Genomic DNA, 16,958 nt, shown 5'->3' with positions numbered 1-16,958 from the left:
GGGTGTTAGGACAGAGAAAAGAGACATACAAGGTGGGGAAGCTCGACAGCAACATAGGTTTATTGGACAGAGAAACCTGTGGAAGGGGAACACCAGCGAGTGCTGGAGCCCCCGTCCTGCGTACAGACTGGGGCAATTATAGGTCTGGACAGGGGAGGTGGGGCAGTGTGGCTAGCTGCCTGGCAGGATGTAATAAGGGAGCCATTTCCTGCAGTCAGGCAGTGTGGCCTGGGATCTGCTTGGCAAAATGCTTTTCATGGCCTGAGCCCCTATGGAAGTTTCCTCCCTGATCAGGGTGTACAAAATGGCAGGGGTTTACTTGATGGCGCCACTTGGGCTAACAGAGGAGAGTTCCCTGACTTCCTCACAGGACTTGTGACGGGGTGTGGCTCATTTGCAAGGCTGCTGCACGTTCAAATCCCCTGTGGGAGGGGGAACATGCAGACAGGCAGGTGCAGGAGCCAGGGCGAGCGCTTTTGGGCTCCATCCCCATGGTAGCATCTAGGGGTGTGTTACAATTAGTGCTCTTTAGCAGTTGCTTTTCGTGGATGGCTATTCCACTCAGTGGAGAGTCAGGGTGACAGCCTTTTATATTCTGCTCTCTTGGTATCCGTCTTTGTCTGGCATCTAGGAAGAATCAGGTCACATCAACCTGAAGGATAGTGAAGGTGGGGATTTTACTGAGTGATGGAGTTGGCTCTCAGAGGAATGGATGTGGAGCTGGAAAGGGGATGGAGTGGGAAGATGATCTTCCCCTGGAGTTCAGCCATCCCCGGCTTATCTGCTTTCCAACCGTCCTCAGCCGAACTCCTCCTGACATTCAGATGCTCCTTCTCTTCTCTCCTCTGCCATGCCATTTTGCTACTCTGCTGCTCTTCTGTTCCTCTGCTTGTAGAGCTTGGGGTTTATATGGGCACAGGATAGGGGTGTGGCAGGCCAGAGTGGTCTTGGAAAAGGCAACATTTGGGCATGAAAATGGGAATGCTTGCTCCCATTTAGGGCCATGGATTTCCAGGCTTCAGGGTGGGCCTTTGTTGGGGAACTGCCCTCTTCTACCCAGTATTTCCTTGCCTGTATCTGTATCATTTCCACCCTCTAAGAGGCCCATCTAATTGCCATTAGAATATGGACAATGACCTATCTTAGCTACTTCCTGCTGACAGAGGACATTGTTTTTGGGGAAAACAGAAGTCAGATTCCTCCCAGAGGTCTATCTAAGGATCCCTGGGGAAAGGGAGTCATCATCCAAGGCTCCGGTTGCCTGACCATTTGGATTTTCATGACCTCAAATTTGAGAGAAAAAAACAAGTTTTATAAGGTGTTAAGTATGCATGGGTTAAACGTGTATTATACAAAGAAATAATCTAGTGCCAAAGATTACAGAAATAGGAAATGTAACATACTCACAACATTGTACCCTGAGCTGTTTCACCCTGGTGAAAGAAATTAAGACTTGTATGGGTGTGGTTAAATTTTAGAAGAGAGATAACTGTTCTTGCCACCAAAGATTACCGAAATAGGAAGTGTAATATACTAACAACATTGTACCCTGAGCTGTTTCACCTTAGTGAAAGAAATTAAGACTTGCATGGGTGTGGTTAAATTTTAGAAGAGAGATAACTGTTCTTGCCACATCTGTAGGAGTTAACAGATGCACCTTAGGAATTCTGGGGTTTGTGGGTTTGCATGGTGACCCTTAAAGCTTCTGCCTCTTTCTTGTGTCTCCCTATCTGTACTGTAAAAGACCAAGGTGGCCTCTTTCAGGAGGTCTCCTAAAGTACTCCCCGACGCCAGGGCCCATTTCTGCAACTTCCCTCTGATATCAGGGGCTGCCTGAGTAATACATTTATCATTTAGGATTAGTTGTCCCATGATGGAATCGGGACACAGAGACCTATGCTTTACAAAGGTCCCTCTTAGCCTCCCCAAGAAGGCAGTGGGATTTTCATTAAATCCCTGGTCTCTCATGGATATCTTGATATAGTAGAGAGGCTTAGTTCTAATCCTACAAAAGCCCTCTATTATGCACACCTGAAACTCTCCTCTTGCATTCTCCCATCTTGTCATTGGGATCCCATTTAGGGACATTCATTGATACTCCTTCTCTTCCAGTTGGATAATATTCACCCCCTTTCCTGGGTGCTACGTATGATACAAACCTCATCCCCAGATCTCTCTGTCACTTGCAGAGTGGCCTGCTTCTCAGTGTTAGTCAGGGTTTGGTTCAAAGTAACATGACGTCTTCCTAGGAGAGCTCAAATACTTGGGTTAAGTTCTGAAAAGCCTCTATATATCTCTCAGGGTCATCTGAAAACTTGCCAAGATCCCCCTCAATTTGCTTCAAGTTCTGTAGAGAGAAGAGTACCTGGACCTTATGGGGTAAATTCACCAGGCATCTGTTGGAGGGGAAAGAATGAGACTGGGGCTTGTCTAGGGTGAGAATTTCTAGGAGGGGGCAAGTGAGAGACTGAAGCTGGATAGGGGGGATGGGGTGGACCTGGCGGAGCAGGGCTGGAGGGAGCTGGCTCCTCTGCTGGGGATGCCTCTGGGATTTGTTTTTTTGGTTCCCTGGGATTGCCCCTTGCAGCCTCTCCCGAGATGGCAAACCGGTCTGGATTAATTCTACATTGTCAGCTAAGGTCTGGATTGCCCTGCACGGTATAGAAAGCCTGCACATATGGGCCTCAGAGCATTTGCCCTCACGTTTACAGAAAAGCTCCAACTGCTGGATGATATCGAAATGAATGGTTTCTTCCTGAGGCCAAGCCAGTCCTTCATAATTTGCCCAAACCTTTGTGCAGAGGGCTATGAGCCATTTTCCTCCAGAGTCTGAGGGTCAAAGCAGTCCCAGTGGTTCAGGATACACTCTAGAGGAGTATAAGCTGGGGGTGGTGAAGACAGCTGATCGCCCATTCTGAAAGACAAGAAATAGAGGTGACCCTCATTTCCTTCCCTTCTTTTAGTGATAACTCAGGGTTTGATGGAGAGAAAGCAGGCATCCCCGTTTTCTGTCTTTTTGTCCCCATGTACCAGTGACCTTGGCAGATGCCACCCATGGGTGCTGAAGCGGCTTTTACTCATGTTAACAGGGGGGCCTGGGGGGGTGAGAGTATCCACTCTTACACATTATGCCCTATTTCCCTTGCTGCCAACAACCTTTGAGTTCCCTGGGCCTCATCTATGTCATGGAGCATGGCCTCCTTTCATGAAGCAAGGTTTTAGTCAGCAGGAATTGGCCCTTCCCATTTACATTGTGCCTGTTGCCAGGCTTTGGATCCCTCAGATCTGGTTTTCCTTTCTAGGGCCTCAACCTGAAGGCTGGAATTGAGTTTCAGACAAAAAAGGTATTTCAGGGGCTGCATGAATCTGTTTAGATCAAGTCTCAAAGGGGCCCTGCCGAATTTGCAGCTATTGGCCAGCAGGGGTCGCTCCTCTGTTATTTTCCCTATTAAAAGCAGCGTGCCGGGGAAAGGAACCCTCTCACTTAGAAAAGAAAAAGGAAACCGCTTATACTACTAAAAAAGAGGGAAGGAACTTCTTGCTCTGTGCAAATGGGTTCCTTTATTGTATTCCGCCCCTGGTTCAGACCAGTAAGGACCCCTCAACCATGGGAGGAGAGGCTCTGCTGGTGCAGTGAGTGGGAGGCACCGGCCAGCCAGCTGCACTAGGGCCCCAGCGGCAGCCAAGGTTTTCTCCCGCCCCTCGTGGCCACTGGGTGCAGCTCATGTGCAGAGCTGGGAGGAGAGGGGAGAAGGCGGGGAGGGGAAAAGGAGGGGAAGGGAGAAGGAGGGGAGTCACTCATGCACTGCGCACACCTGCGGCTGGGGATGGCACCTCTAAGAAGAAACAGAAACTACATTGTTGTGAATTGCACATCTGATGGCTGAACCAAGCATACCTTGTACTTAGTAACATCTCGGTAGTTGCAGCAAAGCCCTTAATACTATAAAAGAAGAGATAGGAGCCATTTCAAGCCATGAAAGAAGATACCACAGCAAAGTCTGGGGTTCTTGGCCTACAGAGTTCAGTCTTGGAGCCTTCCAGCAACAAAAGATGGCTTCTGTTGCCCCAGGACTTTATTCCATCCCGTGCAACAGCTAGACCTCCATGAAGAGAAACAGAGCCAATATTCCTTTTACCCAAAGGAAAAAGAGAGGTGGCAGAATCTTGGAAAAGAGGCAGATCCGACAGTTCTAAATCTGTACTCATCCTTGTGCTGTATCCCAGACGAGCCCCCAGATGAAATGGGAGAGTTCCCTGACCCCCTCACGGGACTTGCGACAGGGGTGTGGCTCATTTGCTCCACTGTCACACACTTTACCCCTTATAGGAGGGGGAACACACAGATGGGAAGGTGCAGGAGCTGGGGCAAGCACTTTTGGGCTCTGGCCCCATGGTAGCATCCAAAGGTGTGTTACAATTAATACTCTTTTAGCAGTTGCTATCTGCAGACGGCTACTTCGTCTCAGTGGAGAGTCAGGGTGACAGCCTTTTATACCCTGCCCTCTTGGTACCCAGGTCCTTGTCTGACATCCTGGAAGAATCAGGTCATCGTTCAAGAAGACTTGAACGATGGTGAATGTGGAGATTTTAATGAGTTATGGATGTGGCTCTTATGGGATGAATGGGGAGCTGGAGAATGGATGGAGTGGGAAGATGATCTTCCCTTGGAGTTCAGCCATCCCGCGGCTGATCTCCTCTTCAACTGTCCCCAGCCGAACTTCTCCTGACATTCAGACGCTCCTTCTCGTCTCTCCTTCTCTGCCACTGCCGTTCTGTTCCTCTGCTCATGGAGTTTGGGGTTTAAGAGGTAAAGAGGCAGAACTATTGGATCTGTCTCTTTTCCAAGATCCTGCCGCCTCTCTCTTTCCTTTGGGTAAAAGTAATATGGGCTCTCTTTCCCTTCATGGAGGCCTAGCTGTCATATGGACACAGGATAGGGGCGTGGCAGGCCAGAGTAGTCTTGGAAAAGGCAACATTTGGGTGCAAAAACAGGAATGCCTGTTCCAATTTAGGGGCGTGGGTTCCCAGGCTTGAGGGTGGGGCATTTGCCAGGGAACTGCCCTCTTCTACCCAGTGTTTCTCTGCCTCCCGTCCATATCAACTGGGACTACAGGTACATGCCACCATACTCCACTAATTCTTATTTGTTGAAGAGACAGGATCTGATTATGTTGCCCAGGCTGGTCTTGATCTCTTAGGCTCAAGCGATCCTCCTGCCTCAGCCTCCCAAAGTACTGGTATTACAGGTGTGAGCCACCATGCCCAGCCTTTACTTGAATTTTAAGAGGAAAAAGAAACTAAAGGAATTACTGAACTTTGGATAATCATTATCTTCAAAACAAGGGACATCATAATACAATTTTTACAAAACTAAAAATATTACTCATCCAATTTAGATTGAATATGCATCAAAGATGTATTTAACTCATTAGTGAGAGAACTATTAAAATAATTCAAAGATCATTTGAGTAACAGAGATTTGTATAGTTTACTGGGGATGACGTTCTGAAATAAGTTTGTTAAATTAGAGCACACATTAATATCCTGTGGATAGGGCAATAAAAAAACCTGTAACCTCTGGGATTATCTTTTTTAATAGACAGAAATCATTTGCATCTGGCTACACACAAGTTTAAAATTTAACATGTACTTTCTCAGAATCTAGGGCCTGATCAATGGTAAACAGAAATCAATCAAAAGTTCATTCCCCTACAGATTTAAGGAATGCCGGGTTGGGCCTGTTAGTCAACATTGTAATATGACCTTGAAAACCATGCAGTCATCCTTTTACCTGTTTTTTTTTTTTTTTTTTTTTTTGAGACAGAGTCTTGCTCTGTCACCCAGGCTGGAGTGCAGCGGTGCAGTCTCAGCTCACTACAACCTCCGCCTCCCGGGTTCAAGCAATTCTCCTGCCTCAGCCTCTCTAGTAGCTGGGATTACAGGCGCATGCCGCCATGCCCAGATAATTTTCGTATTTTTAGTAGAGACAGGGTTTCACCATGTTGGCCAGGCTGGTCTCAAACTCCTGACCTTGTGATCCGCCCGCCTCGGCCTCCCAAAGTGCTAGGATTACAGGTGGGAGCCACTGCGCCTGGACCCTTTTATCTATTTCTAAGTTTTTTATTAGATATAAATTTAGTTAGCAGAGGAAGTTATTCGAGTTACGGGTGGCAAATCTGTACAGGTCTGCAGCAACCTCAATTCTTCCCTCCTCAGGAAAAAGAATTCAAATGAGGGGCCTAAGTGAGAAGAGACTGAGGCAAGTGTTAGAGCAGGAGTGAAAGTTTATTAAGAAGCTGTACAGGCCGGGCGTGGTGGCTCATACCTGTAATCCCAGCACTTTGTGAGGCCTAGGTGGGAGAATCACTTGAAGTCAGGAGTTTGAGACCAGCCTGTTCAACATGGTGAAACACCATCTCTAATAAAAATTAGCTGGGTGTAGTGGCAGGTGCCTGTAACCCAAGCTACTCGGGAGGCTGAGACAGGAGAATTGCTTGAGCCCAGGAGGCAGAGGTTGCAGTGAGCTGAGACCACGCCACTACACTCCAGCCTGGGTGACAGAGTGAGACTCCATCTCAAAAAAAAGAGAGAGAGAGAGAAGATTTAGAGCAGGAATAAAAAGAAAGTAAAGTACGTTTGGAAGCAGGCCAAGCAGACATTTTGGAGGTCAGGTGTGGGGTTTGACCTTTTGAATCAGGGTTTTACATGTTGGCATACTTCTGGGGTCTTGGGTCCCTTCTCCCCTGATTCTTCCCTTGGGGTAGGAAGCACTAGCACAATGCCCTACTTGGGAGGGGAGCATATGCAGTGTGTTTACTGGAGCTGTACGCATGCTCACTTGAGGTGTTCTTCCCTTTACTGATGGAATGCCCCCAGAAGGTCCTAGATGAGTTAAACTCCACCATTTTGCCTCTTGACGCGCATGCATGAGCTCACTCGCCCAACTCCTGGGATCTTACCAGGAAGATGCTGATGACCATTTTCAGGTTTTTTCTATCTATAGGCACATTGCCTTTCCCTGGTGCTGGCTGCAACCAATTATTATTCTAGAGAGACAGTTAACAACCTCCTGACCATCACCTGATGGTCACCTGACATTCCTGGTTGGGAGGAGCCTCTCCTGCCCTGTTTATGTATGACTAGCTACCTACAGTAACAATTTCTAAGAGATTTCGCCTCTAAACTTAAAGAACATTAAGAAAAACATTTAAAGATATAGTTAATATTAATTTTATATACATCTCTATTAAAGTATATAAATTTATATGTATAATTAGTACACCTTGGAAAACTGTCTCATAAAATTCAAAAGACAGCACTGAATTCTAAACAATTCCAAACAACAAAACATTTTTTATTTAAAAAAAAGTTTAAGCTCTATGCTTACTTTTAGTGTGATTTGTCTAAGAAATCAACAGGAGAAAACTGATCAATAACCAAATAACTTTTATAACACTAAATCACAACTGTGTTAGAAAAATGCCCTGAGAAGGTGATAAAAGCTTGAAATTATTATAACCCTTAAGAAAGTAAACACAAATTCATATTACATCTTATATCCTCCCTACTAAAAGAGCTAATCTTGAAGTTTTAACTACAGTTTAGGAAACGGTGTTTTGGCTGGGTGTGGTGGCTCACATCTGTAATCCCAGTACTTTGGGAGGCTGAGGTGGGAGGATCACTTGAGCCCAGGAGTTGGAGGTTACAGTGAGCTATGATCAAGCCACTGCATCCCAGTCTGGGTGACAGAGCAAGACCTAGCTCAAGAAAAAAATTAAAAAACAAAAATAAAAACTGTCTTTTATCATTTGCCCAGATGACACAACATTGTCATTTACTTAATATTTAACCCATGATAACCTCATGTAGATTCTTATTTTCCAGCAATTTTTAATTGACCTTGTTAAATCAACTTTAGCCTAAAGCTGCCTTCTCACTTATTTTAAGTTCAGCCTAATCTGTACATAGTGAACTGTAACCTGAATCGAGGTGTAAACAGGCTGTAACCTACTCTCGTGCCAATCACTGAGTTTTGTCCAGTCAAAGGGGACCACCTATTCAAACCATGTTTGAATAAGGTAAACACCCAGCTGTAATAAATTCAGCTGTTGCTGTACCTCACTTCCATTTCCTGTGATCACTTTTCTTTTTCTGTCTATAAATCTTCTACCACGTGGCTGTGCTGGAGTCTCTATGAACCTACTCTGGCTCAAGAGGCTTCCTTATTCGCAAATTGTTCTTTGCTCAGTTAAACTCTGTTAAATTTAATTTGGCTAAGGTTTTTAGCAACCTTTTTTCTTATTAACCAAGAGAGTAATACTTGTCTTCCTTTCATTATCATCATTCTGCATTTGTACTTGCAGACTCACACCATTTGTTTTATACTAATGAAACCAACTTTGCAAAAATTATAACAGTGAGAAAACCATGACAATGGGAAGATCTGATCTAGCCCACTCTCTTCTTGCCTTTAGCTTTCAAGCTGCCAGACATTTAGTTTATAGTTTAGATGATTAGCCCTTCCCCAAAACTCAACCACTTTTGTAAAGCTAATGAGAGACTACCAGGCTAGGAGGATAGAGGAGCCTGAATTTTGCTAAGGTGAAAGTGCAGACATAAATGATTGCCAGCCATTATTGTGGAGGTCACAAGATATGCAACTTCCCAATTTCTCCTGCAGATAACATCACTACTGTAGAACCTAAGTTTGGCCTTCTGAGATACCTTTTCAGGTTTTTTTTTGCATTGAGATACTGATGATGGTTCCACCTGGACCCACCAACAGCTCCTGCGGCACCACCCAGAAGCCATTCAGCCTACAGGAGGTGAATTTCCCACACCTCTATGATTGCACCCCCCAAGCAGTCAGCAGCAAGCTCCCTTTGCCTAGCCACATTCATCTCCTCCCCCAAACTACCTTTCAAAAACTTTTAACCTGTGAGCCTTCGATGAGATTGATCTGAGTAATAACTCTTTACTGCAATGCGATGGTTTTTGTGCAGCAGGTACGGTATCTATCTCACCGTTGGAGACATTCTTCAAGGACCTTGTAACTGCACACTTGGAAGTTTGTTAAGGGGGTAAATCTCATGTTATGTGGCTGATTTGTTTTGTTTTGACACAGGGTCTCACTCTGTCACCCAGGCTGGAGTACAGTGGTGTGATCATAGGTCACTGCAGCCTGCAGCACGCCCAAGCACAAGAAATCCTCCTGCCTCAGCCTCTCAAGTAACTGGGACTGCAGGCCCGTGCCACCAAGCCTGTTTTTTTTTTTTTGTAGAAATGAGGTCTCGCTTTGTTGCTTAGGATGGTCTGGAACTCCTGAGCTCAAGCTTAAGTGCTGGGATTACAGGCATGAGCCACTGTACCTGGCCATGTTTTTTTTTAATGTCTCACACACACACACACACACACACACACAGCCTGTTGTATGGGGGCGGGGGAATGAGGAGAGCCATTAAATAAATAAGCACTTAAAATAGAATGTGACTGGTGCTATCGTAGATTTAAGTACCAGATAGATGCTGTACCAGAAACACTGAAAAGGGACACCTGGCCCAGCCTCGTGGGAGCGACAGCCAAGAAGTCTTTCTGGCAGAGCTGACTGCTGAGTAGAGTTAATGGGTTGCTAGGAATTAGTATTGCACAGGGCCAATTTACCCATTAGGCATTTAGTATTGGGGTCCTGAAAAAAAAAATTAACTCCAAAAGAAAAAAGTATAAAATCTAAATTAATAGGTGCATCACTATTTAAACTTAATATGCATTTAAATGCCATTACATTAGAAACTAGAGGAGTTGTGCATATAAGGAGAACCCTATTCTGAAGGACTTTCTACACTCATACACAAACCTTGGAGTTGACTCAAGTCCATGAGAAGCCACTGGCAGATTCTGTTTGAAAAATCACAGCCAAGTTCGCAGATTAGAGAATTCCCTCTGGTGGCCACCCTTTATCATAGGCTTTGGAGGCACTTGAAGGTCCAAGATGGGGTGGTTAGAACTTGACGTGGCATCATCAGTGCCTGGGAAGGTCTTCTAGCCTCTAATCTTGAGATTTTCCAGTTCTCCATTTTCGTGGCCAGCTTGACTCATTCTTACCTTTGAAGTCCCTTTGTTTGGGAGGCCGAGGCAGGTGGATCACCTGAGGTCAGTAGTTCGAGACCAACCTGACTAATATGGTGAACACCCCCGTCTCTACTAAACATACAAAATTAGCTGAGTGTGGTGGCACATGCCTGTAATCCCATCTACTCAGGAGGCTGAGGCAGGAGAATCGCTTGAACCCAGAAGGTGGAGTTTGCAGTGAGTGAGAATGCACCACTGCACTCCAGCCTGGGCAACAAGAGCAAAACTCCGTCTCAAAAAAAAAAAAAATCCCTGTTTCATAGTAGGTAGTTATTCAGACATGAGCAGGGCGGGAGAGCCCCCTGCCCCACCATGAATGTCAGACAACCATCAGATGATGGTCAGGCAGTTGTTACACTGTCTCTCTAAAACAGTAATTGGTCAAAGCCAGCACCAGCAAAGACAGTCTCCCAATAGATAGAAATATCTCAAACTGGTGATCAACAGTTTCCCATTAAGATCTCAGGAGTCAGGCAAGTAGGCTCAAGTATGTGCACTAAGAGGCAAAATGGCAGAGTTCAACTGGTATGTGACCTAGGAACACTTGACTGGTCAAGAAGGAATGCCTCAAGTGAGCATGCGTACAACTCCAGTAAGCACACTGTGCATGCAGCCCCTCCCTAGTGCTGGCAGACCACTGCGCATGCGGAATGCCAGCATATAAAACCCCAATCCAAAGGTCAAACCAGGCACTTGAATCTCTCCAGTCACCTGCTTGGCACTTTTCCAAGTGTTCTTTACTTTCATTCCTGCTCTAAATCTTGTCTCGGTCTCTCACTCTGCCTTATACCCCTCAGTTGAATTATTTCTTCTGAGGAGGCAAGAACTGAGGCTGCTGCAGACTGATATGGATTCACCACTGCTAACACCTCCTGGTTGGAACTACAGGAATAGAACTGGAAAGGGAAAAAAGGCAGCATTCACCACATCCCAATCCTGAATCCAAGAGTCTAAGATAGTCCCCCACTCCTATCTCAGGCTTAGAGGATTAGATTAATCTCCTGGAGGGAAGACTCTTCCTTGAAACATTTTTTTTTATCTGCCTGTAGCTATTGGGATAATTCGGGAAATCCACAGGGACAGTTCAAGTCATCTTTGTCCTCTACTTTCTGTTGCACTCTCAGCCTTGTTCTCTTTTTAGAAACTGCATGGTAACTATTATATAGCTAAAGAAGAGCATTCTGACCTCTGCCCTGGGACTTCCTGGATCCTCCTCTTCTTATAAATACAAGGGCAGAGCTGGTATCCCGGGGAGCCAGGAAGCAGTGAGCCCAGGAGTCCTCGGCCAGCCCTGCCTGCCCACCAGGAGGATGAAGGTCTCCGTGGCTGCCCTCTCCTGCCTCATGCTTGTTGCTGTCCTTGGATCCCAGGCCCAGTTCACAAATGGTGAGTCCAGTGAGCTTTCTCCCAGGTGACCAGGTCCATGGTAACTCAAGCTCTGGGACGGAGACATGTTGTGACTACTCTCCAGCCCAGACATGGTTATGGAACTTATTTAAAAAGCACCAGCAGGGTATAGACCTGGCTCTGTCTGCAGCCTTTGGACCCTGGCGGGGAAAGGTACACAGATGACTGGTCCCATTTGGGGCCAATTATTTCCCTTTTCACAGCAAAAATTATCTGATTTTTTCCCTTAGCTGATATTTTAGCTGGAACAAAAGAACTGTAATTAAATTGTAAATTTGTAAAAAGAATCATACAATTTTATGGTGCTAGAACTGCTATCTACCATCTGGTGTAAAATTATGATTTGTGAGAGGAAAAGGAACCAGCCAGGTAAGTGACTCACCCAAGATCACTGTCTCACTTGTTCCTGTGGAATCTTAATTTGTGGAGGTGAATGTCAACGCAAAGAGGTCAATGACATTGAAAAAAGAATGTATTATTTACATTTCCCAAGAGAAGGAGGTACACCGTGACACACGGGGCCCCAAGGGAAGCATCCAGGGCAGGAGTCACGGGCAGGAGTCACGGGCAGGAGTCACAAACAGGAGGGAAGGGACAACCTATGCCAGAACCTTTATTGGGGTTTCTCGGGGGAAAGCAAGGCAGCACAGAGCATACACTTTAGGGCTGGGTAGTCTGAATAAGCCTTTCAGGCTTTGGGGTATAGGGATAGTCTCTAGCTGTCTAGTACTCATCCTTAGGATGATTTAGAGCAGTGGAAATACTGGCTTGGTGTGTGTGAGTTAGCAAAGGAGGTGGATGGGCATATGGGCTCAGGATTTTTTGATTTGTATATGAAAGGTCTAAACCCTTAGCTATCTCTATGAATTGGTTAGCCCTGCAATGGGCAGTCTCTCCCGAGCTGTCAAGATTTTTTTTTTTTTTTTTTTTTTTGAGATGGAGTTTCACTCTGTCTCCCAGGCTGGAGTGCAGTGGTGCGATCTCGGATCACTGAAAGCTCTGCCTACCAGGTTCAATGAATTATCCTTCCTCAGCCTCCAGAGTAGTTGGGATTAAGGCATGCGCCACCAAGCCCAGCTGATTTTTGTGTCTTTTTAGTAGAGGCGGGGTTTCACCATGTTGGCCAGACTAGTCTCCAACTCCTGGCCTCAGGTGATCCGCCCACCTCGGCCTCCCAAAGTGTTGGGATTACAGGTGTGAGCCACCGCGCCTGGCCACTGTAAAGATTTTTTTTTTTTTTTTTTTGAGATGGAGTCTCACTCTGTCGCCCAGGCTGGAGTGCAGTGGCACGATCTCAGCTCACTGCAAGCTCCGCCTCCCCGGTTCACGCCATTCTCCTGCCTCAGCCTCCCGAGTAGCTGGGACTACAGGCGCCTGCCACCACGCCCGGCTAATTTTTTGTATTTTTAGTAGAGATGGGGTTTCACCATGTTAGCCAGGATGGTCTCAATCTCCTGATCTCGTTATCTGCCCACCTCGGCCTCCCAAAGTGCTGGGATTACAGGCCTGAGCCACCACGCCTGGCTGCATTTTTCTATTTAGCATAATACAGGTATGCAATCCCTTATCAAAATCCTATCAGGCTAGATGTATTTTGGAATACAGAATTTCTCTGGTTTTTAAAAGGTAATACACGCTAGGCATGGTGGCTCACCTATAATCCCAGCACTTTGGGAGGCTGAGCTAGGAGAATTGCTTGACCACAGGAGTTCAAGACCAGCCTGGGCATCATAGCAAGACCTCATCACTACAAAAAGGTAAACTATTAGCTAGGCATTGTGGCTCGCACCTGTAGTTCCAGCTTCTCAGGAGGCTGAGGCAGGAGGATCACTTGAGCCCAGGACCTCAAGGCTGCAGTGAGTTATGATCATACCACTGCGCCCCAGCCTGGGTGACAGAAAAAGACCCTGTCTCAATTAAAAAAAAAAAAAAAAGTAATACATACCTAGATGGTACTTATCCTTGGTGGGGCCAAGGAAGACTATTTCAATCAAACACAGCAATTTTTCTGTAGCAAACACATGAATATTTCTGCTAACTGGGATGAATAAATACCATAATAGACTCACTTCACTTAAGGGGATACTGTGCCACCATAAACGCTGATAAAACCTCTCTGTTTCCAGAGCCCTATAATAAAAAATTATTCCAGAAATGTGTAGAAAAACTTGTAGACTGTGTCACATCATGTAGACATTCCATTAACTGAACCGTGTGAGGTTCAGTTGCTTTTAGTATTTCAGAGTCAATACAAAGTTTTCATGTCTACATTTTCAAAAGGTCTCTGAAAAGTCTCAGGGCCCTAATGGAATAAATGGGCCAGGAGGCAGGCCTAGAACCCAGACAGGTGGTGGTGGTCCAGCTTCAGAGCCTCTCTGCCTCAGGAGGAGGATGAGCAATGGGGTGGGTGGAGATGTTGAAACATACTGCTGCCACCCAGTGATTTCCTTCCCTGTACTGTTTCTTTCAGATGCAGAGACAGAGTTAATGATGTCAAAGCTTCCACTGGAAAATCCAGTAGTTCTGAACAGTAAGTGATCAGATACGGCATACATTTAAAAGCAGCCAGCAGGTGCAGGTCTGCACTATGGGATCCATTGTCCCTGTTTACAGAATGGGAGGAGAATGAGAGGGTCCTGAGGGTGGTGAATATCTCCAAGGGAGATCAGGACAGGGTAGGGGGACCCCCTCCATAGATGCCTTCTCTGTTCCCCTCTGGCTGCCCCAAGAGCCTGCTCCTTTGGAGAAGAAGGTGCTCTCTGATGCCTGCAGGTGTCTGCAGATGCCTTCCCCTTCTGGGGGAAATTTTCTTGGTCCTGCTGTGGCCCACCCTGAGTGCCCTCAGACACATGGCAAAACCCTGGGGAGGGTCTGAAGCAGGGAGAGGCCAGCAAGTGCTAGCCGAGGAGGAGAAACATGTCTTCAGAGGCTTGTGCCTTCTCACCCTCCACTGTGCTTTCGAGGAGAAAGATTTGCCCTCAGATGACGCTTTCTCTTGCTGCAGGCTTTCACTTTGCTGCTGACTGCTGCACCTCCTACATCTCACAAAGCATCCCGTGTTCACTCATGAAAAGTTATTTTGAAACGAGCAGCGAGTGCTCCAAGCCAGGTGTCATGTAAGTGCCAAGCTCACCAACCATGTGTTGGGGAAGAAGCAGCCCACAGCATCTTGCAGGGAGGACACGACGGATGGGCGTCCATCGGGTTCCACCCTCTGGATCCTGCCAGATACAGGGCAGCTGTGTCCTTACGAGGATTCTGCAGGGCATCAGGGATGAGACACTCCCAGTGGAGAGGAGATAGGGAAGGAAGAAGAAAGCAAGCACAAGGCTTCCCAAGGACACTTCCATGAGTCATTAAGGAGTCCCACAGGCTGAGAGGGTCTCAAAAGGACACTGTCCCTGAGCTGCCATCAGCAGAGAAAGGAAAAAACAGGCTGTGTTGACTGGGAAATCTGAGGAGCAGGGAGGATGGGGCCCCCTGTCTCCATCTGCCCACACCTCAGTTTGTAATCTTTCTCTCCCTTGTTCCCCAGATTCCTCACCAAGAAGGGGCGGCAAGTCTGTGCCAAACCCAGTGGTCCGGGAGTTCAGGATTGCATGAAAAAGCTGAAGCCCTACTCAATATAATAATAAAGAGACAAAAGAGGCCAGCCACCCACCTCCAACACCTCCTGTGAGTTTCTTGGTCTGAAATACTTAAAAAATATATATATTGTTGTGTCTGGTAATGAAAGTAATGCATCTAATAAAGAGTATTCAATTTTTTAACTTTGCTTGAGTTTTAAGAGGAAATAAACTAATATAAAACTGAAGCAACTGCTGAGCCCCAACATGATTAAATACAAATTCACCTTATATCTCATCTTCTCCCTTCTACTGAAATAGCTAATCTTCAAAGGGTTGGCTACAATTTCAAGAAAGTTTCTTTTACTCCATCATTTACCCAGTTCACACCATTTTCTACTTTACTTAACATTTGATCCATTATAATCCCATAACAATTCTTATTTTTCTCATAATTTCCTTTTGATATTTTTCTATTAACCCAAAGAGAAATACTTTTTGTTTCCTTATCATTCCACATTTGCACTTGCATATTTACACCATCGGTTTCATGGTAACTACTTCATTCTTCGAGACAGTCTTCAAGGACCTTCTAACTTCCTATTCCAACTTGCAGAAATGCTTTCTGGACCTGCCAAAATAATAATAATAATAATAATAATAATAAGTCATACTGGGATTTCTTCTCATCACACACCTGAGTTCATTCCACCATGACACGTAGCCCAAAACTTCCTCTTCCTCTTCCTTCCTTCCTAAAAGGGTTTATTTTTCATTTTGCTAGAATATCTTTGAACTGCCTTCTGCTTTAAAAGATGACAAAAGCAAACACTCTCCTTTGCTCCATGGGTGCCAGGGCAGGCATCCCCAACTCAGGCTTGGCCAACCTATGCTCCCTTTCAGAGATCTGAGCCTGGAACAGGTGTTGCAGAGAAGCAGAAAAAGAGAGGACTCACACCAGTTGACTCTTGTGGCATGATTTTGGATGTGGCATTGGAGCTGGTCTCTCTAGGATTCTACCTCGGCCTCCCAGGTTCAAGCAATTCTCCTGCCTCAGCCTCCCTACTAGCTGGGATTACGTGCCTGCCACCAGACCTGACTAATTTCTGTATTTTTAGTAGAGACAGGGTTTCGCCTTGTTGGTCAGGCTGGTCTCAAACTCCTAACCTCAGATGATCCACCCACCTCGGCCTCCCAAAGTACTGGAATTAACGGCATGAGCCACTGCACTCAGCCTCTACCTACTTTTCAAGCCTTCCTGATACTACCTAAAATCTTTGCAGTAAAGTCCTTTTTGCTTAATCAACCAGAGTCAGTTTGTATAGCTTTCCAACAAAAAACTCCAACTGATATGAACAATAAACTTTCTGGGACTTTGAAGGTCTAAAAACTTTGGTCTTTAAGTGTGAAAATGGTTCAACTGAATATGAAAGTTCATGTTGAAAATAATTTTCTCTCAGAATAATGTAGACATTCTTCAATTGTCTTCTAGCATCTCAGACAGGGCCAAAATTCCAAAGCCAATTGATTTCTTATTCCTTAGTAAGAAAAAAAATTTTTAGACCCTCTGGGAATTTTTAGAATTTTTTTCTTTTTCTATTGTCTTTATTTTTATAATTTCAACTTTTATTTTGGATTCAGGGGTTACGCGTGCAGGTTTGTTGCCTGGGCATATTGCATGAAGTTTGGGGTACAACTGATCCCATCACCCAGGTACTGAGCATAGCACCCAATAGTTTTTCAACCGTTGCCCCCTTCCCTCCCTCCCTCCTGTAGTAGTCCCCAGCGCCTATTGTTGCCATCTTTATGTCCATGTGTAACCAATGTTTAGCTCCCACTTACAAGTGAAAACAT

General features: G+C 45.6%; 1 protein-coding gene and 2 long non-coding RNA genes across 5 annotated transcripts in view; 2 read left to right on the top strand and 1 right to left on the bottom strand.

The window, feature by feature from the left end:
• On the bottom strand, window positions 34-11,405 carry LOC107985068 (uncharacterized). 2 transcript variants are annotated; one of them, XR_001752854.2, is made up of 2 exons: window positions 11,318-11,405; window positions 34-2,914 (listed from the first exon to the last, which is right to left on the bottom strand). It is a non-coding gene; the product is annotated as an uncharacterized LOC107985068 (long non-coding RNA). The 2 variants fall into 2 exon arrangements; XR_007065725.1 differs by lacking the exon at window positions 11,318-11,405 and adding an exon at window positions 9,857-11,027.
• Window positions 10,896-16,958, top strand: part of CCL15-CCL14 (CCL15-CCL14 readthrough (NMD candidate)) — an 18,383-nt gene continuing 12,320 nt past the window's right edge. For both annotated transcript variants that reach the window (NR_027922.3, NR_027921.3), the window contains exons 1-4: window positions 10,896-11,517; window positions 14,009-14,068; window positions 14,543-14,654; window positions 15,074-15,213. This is a non-coding gene — a long non-coding RNA (CCL15-CCL14 readthrough (NMD candidate)). The remainder of the gene's footprint in view (window positions 11,518-14,008; window positions 14,069-14,542; window positions 14,655-15,073; window positions 15,214-16,958) is intronic.
• Window positions 11,381-15,352, top strand: CCL15 (C-C motif chemokine ligand 15). The gene is made up of 4 exons (NM_032965.6): window positions 11,381-11,517; window positions 14,009-14,068; window positions 14,543-14,654; window positions 15,074-15,352. The coding sequence occupies exons 1-4, from the start codon at window positions 11,442-11,444 to the stop codon at window positions 15,165-15,167; spliced, it is 342 nt and encodes a 113-aa protein (NP_116741.2). The 5' UTR covers window positions 11,381-11,441; the 3' UTR covers window positions 15,168-15,352.

The sequence above is a fragment of the Homo sapiens genome, chromosome 17 (assembly GCF_000001405.40).
Source record: "Homo sapiens chromosome 17, GRCh38.p14 Primary Assembly".
In the NCBI taxonomy this organism is placed as follows: Eukaryota; Metazoa; Chordata; class Mammalia; order Primates; family Hominidae; genus Homo; species Homo sapiens.
Note: the sequence above shows the minus strand (reverse complement) of the source record. Positions and strands in the feature narration are given on the sequence as shown.